Source organism: Homo sapiens, chromosome 10 (assembly GCF_000001405.40).
Source record: "Homo sapiens chromosome 10, GRCh38.p14 Primary Assembly".
Classification (NCBI taxonomy): domain Eukaryota; kingdom Metazoa; phylum Chordata; class Mammalia; order Primates; family Hominidae; genus Homo; species Homo sapiens.
The window spans coordinates 44628059-44630356 of record NC_000010.11 but is presented as its reverse complement, the minus strand read 5'-3'; the positions used below and the strand labels follow the sequence as shown (position 1 = coordinate 44630356).

Below are 2298 nucleotides of genomic sequence, written 5' to 3'. Positions count from 1 at the left end.
TTTTCTTACTTTTCTTGTGGTACTGCATGACCCTGTAATATGAGTTGGGACTATAATCTGTTAATCTGTGCCTTTCCAACTCCTTGGAAACTAATGGGCAAAGGTGAATGCTTTTTGAAAGAATGAATACTCGAATCAACCAATCAATTGATTAAGCTTGGCACCAAGGTTTACATGCTTCTTTTTGTTTATGCCCCAATCCTAGTACCCTAAGTAGATTTATGTTTCTTGTAATTTGCATGGTTTTTTTCTAAGTCATACTTTCATGCCTTATAATAAAATGTAGCTACATACTGAGATAATTTAAGAATAAAAACAGAAATCAGAAAACTTTGTAAAGAAAGAGATAATTTTAATAGCCCAAACTGTGATAGAGCATTCTCTGTCCAGGCACTGTCCTAAGTACTTTACCTGTATTATTTCATTAAATCCATATAAGAACCCTATGTTACGGTGTGGGTGTTATTATTACTATCTCAACTTTACAGATGAGGAACCTGAGTCAAAGAGAAATTAAGTAACCTTCTGGGAAGTGGTGACATCAAAATTATGTGCACATAATCTTGTTTCCAGGTTGTTCCCTTCACCAAGAGGGTTGTCTGCTACTGTCAGAGATATCAGAAGCCTTAGGTAATATAGTTCATGTGCTTCAAAATTGCATTTAGTTCATTTTTTCTTATTCTCCAAGGAATAAACTCTAAACATAATAGAGGGATCAGGGCTGGCTTCATGGGCATACAACGTGCGCAGCTGTCTCAGGCACCAAACTCAGAAATCCTAATGCTCTGTTGTTGCCATCTTGAAATTCTTAATAATTTTTGAACCCGAGGTCTTGCATTTTTATTTTGCTCTGGACCCTGAAAATTATGCAAGTGTTCTTGAAAAAGATATAAAATATCCAAGGAAGCATTTCTCAGATATATGGGTATTTATTTTTGGAATTGTGGGTAATAATGACTATGCATTTTGTTCCAGAGAATGAAAAAGCAAGTTCTTTCATGTAGAAATCATTCTAGAAGTCAAAAATCAAAGCATTGGATAAGATCATCAGGATAAGTCCTTTGTGAATGCAAGGATCCCAAGGGACTATTTTCCTAAAAATATGTATTCTGAAAGATGTCTAAATTAATAATCAGCATTTTTTTTTCTTCTCTGGCTATGCTGATGGGAGGGTCAGCTACTCAAGTCAAGGAAAAGCTCCCGAGGCTTTCTGTTGCAAGAAGGAACATTATGAAAGTGCTGAGTCATGCAGATTAATCAGAAAGTGGTGTTCCGGGGGTTGCTGAGGAGTAAGGAGCTGGAAAATAAAGACAGAACTAGGGTTGGGTGGATGAGGCTTTCTAAAGGGGTGGTTGGCAACAAAATATCTGGGGCTTCCTGAAGATGCTGTAATGAAAATAAGCTACATCTGATGACTAGCTGACTACAGAGACAGCAGGAGAGCTGGGTAACTCGGAAATCTCCGGCCAAACTAACAAGGAAATATGATGTTACCTTGGAAAGCAATGGAAGTTATTCTATTGTAGACAACGCTGAGCATGTCTTGTCTCATTTGTTTGATTGTAGGACCCCTAAAGGCAGGTTCTGTTTTGTCTCTGCCGCTCCTTATGCCTGGCACAGTGCACCTAACAGAGTATAATGGAAACATCTCTTGTTGTAGTTCATAAAGTGTGGCAATGGCTCTGTTCATTAGCCATGAGTGCCTGAGATTAGTAACATCCATCAATGAGATCCAAGAAATGCCATGTGGACAGGATGGTGCAGACCCCACAGACAAATCCAAACCCACTGTGTTGGTGACTCTTCCCTCTTGAGGAAATCCTATATATTTTTTGGATCAAGGGTTTTTTATTACTGACTGTGAAATAGAGTCATGCAGCTCATAATGACGTTTAGCTCGATGATAGACTGCATATAGGACAGTAGTCCTATAAGATTATAATGGAACTGAAAAATTCCTGTTCTATCTATTCCTGTATCTCTCCTCTGTCTGGGTATGTTTAGATACACAAATACTTACCACGTGTTACAACTGCCTGCAGTATTCCGTACAGTCACAGGCTGTACAAGTTGTAGCCTAGGAGCAATAGGCTATGCCCTACAGCTGACATGTGTAGTAGCTTCTATCCTCTAGGACTGTGTAAGTGCACTCTGTGATGTGCACACAACAAAGAAATCATCTAAGGACACATTTCTCGGAATGGATCCCTGTTGTTGAGTAGCACATGACTGTACTTCAGATAGTTGTAGGCTAACAGAGATACTTGGGAAGATAAAACATGAGAAAAGAAAAATATT

The 2298-nt window shown here is 38.6% G+C and overlaps 1 annotated feature.

Moving 5' to 3' along the window:
* Positions 731-1930: an enhancer, noted in NCBI's record as "MED14-independent group 3 enhancer chr10:45123875-45125074 (GRCh37/hg19 assembly coordinates)". NCBI's record gives its function as "activates an origin of replication core promoter dependent on BRD2, BRD4, P300/CBP and CDK7 cofactors, and independent of MED14, by STARR-seq in HCT116 cells {active_cell/tissue: HCT116}" and the evidence as "EXISTENCE:reporter gene assay evidence [ECO:0000049][PMID:35650434]".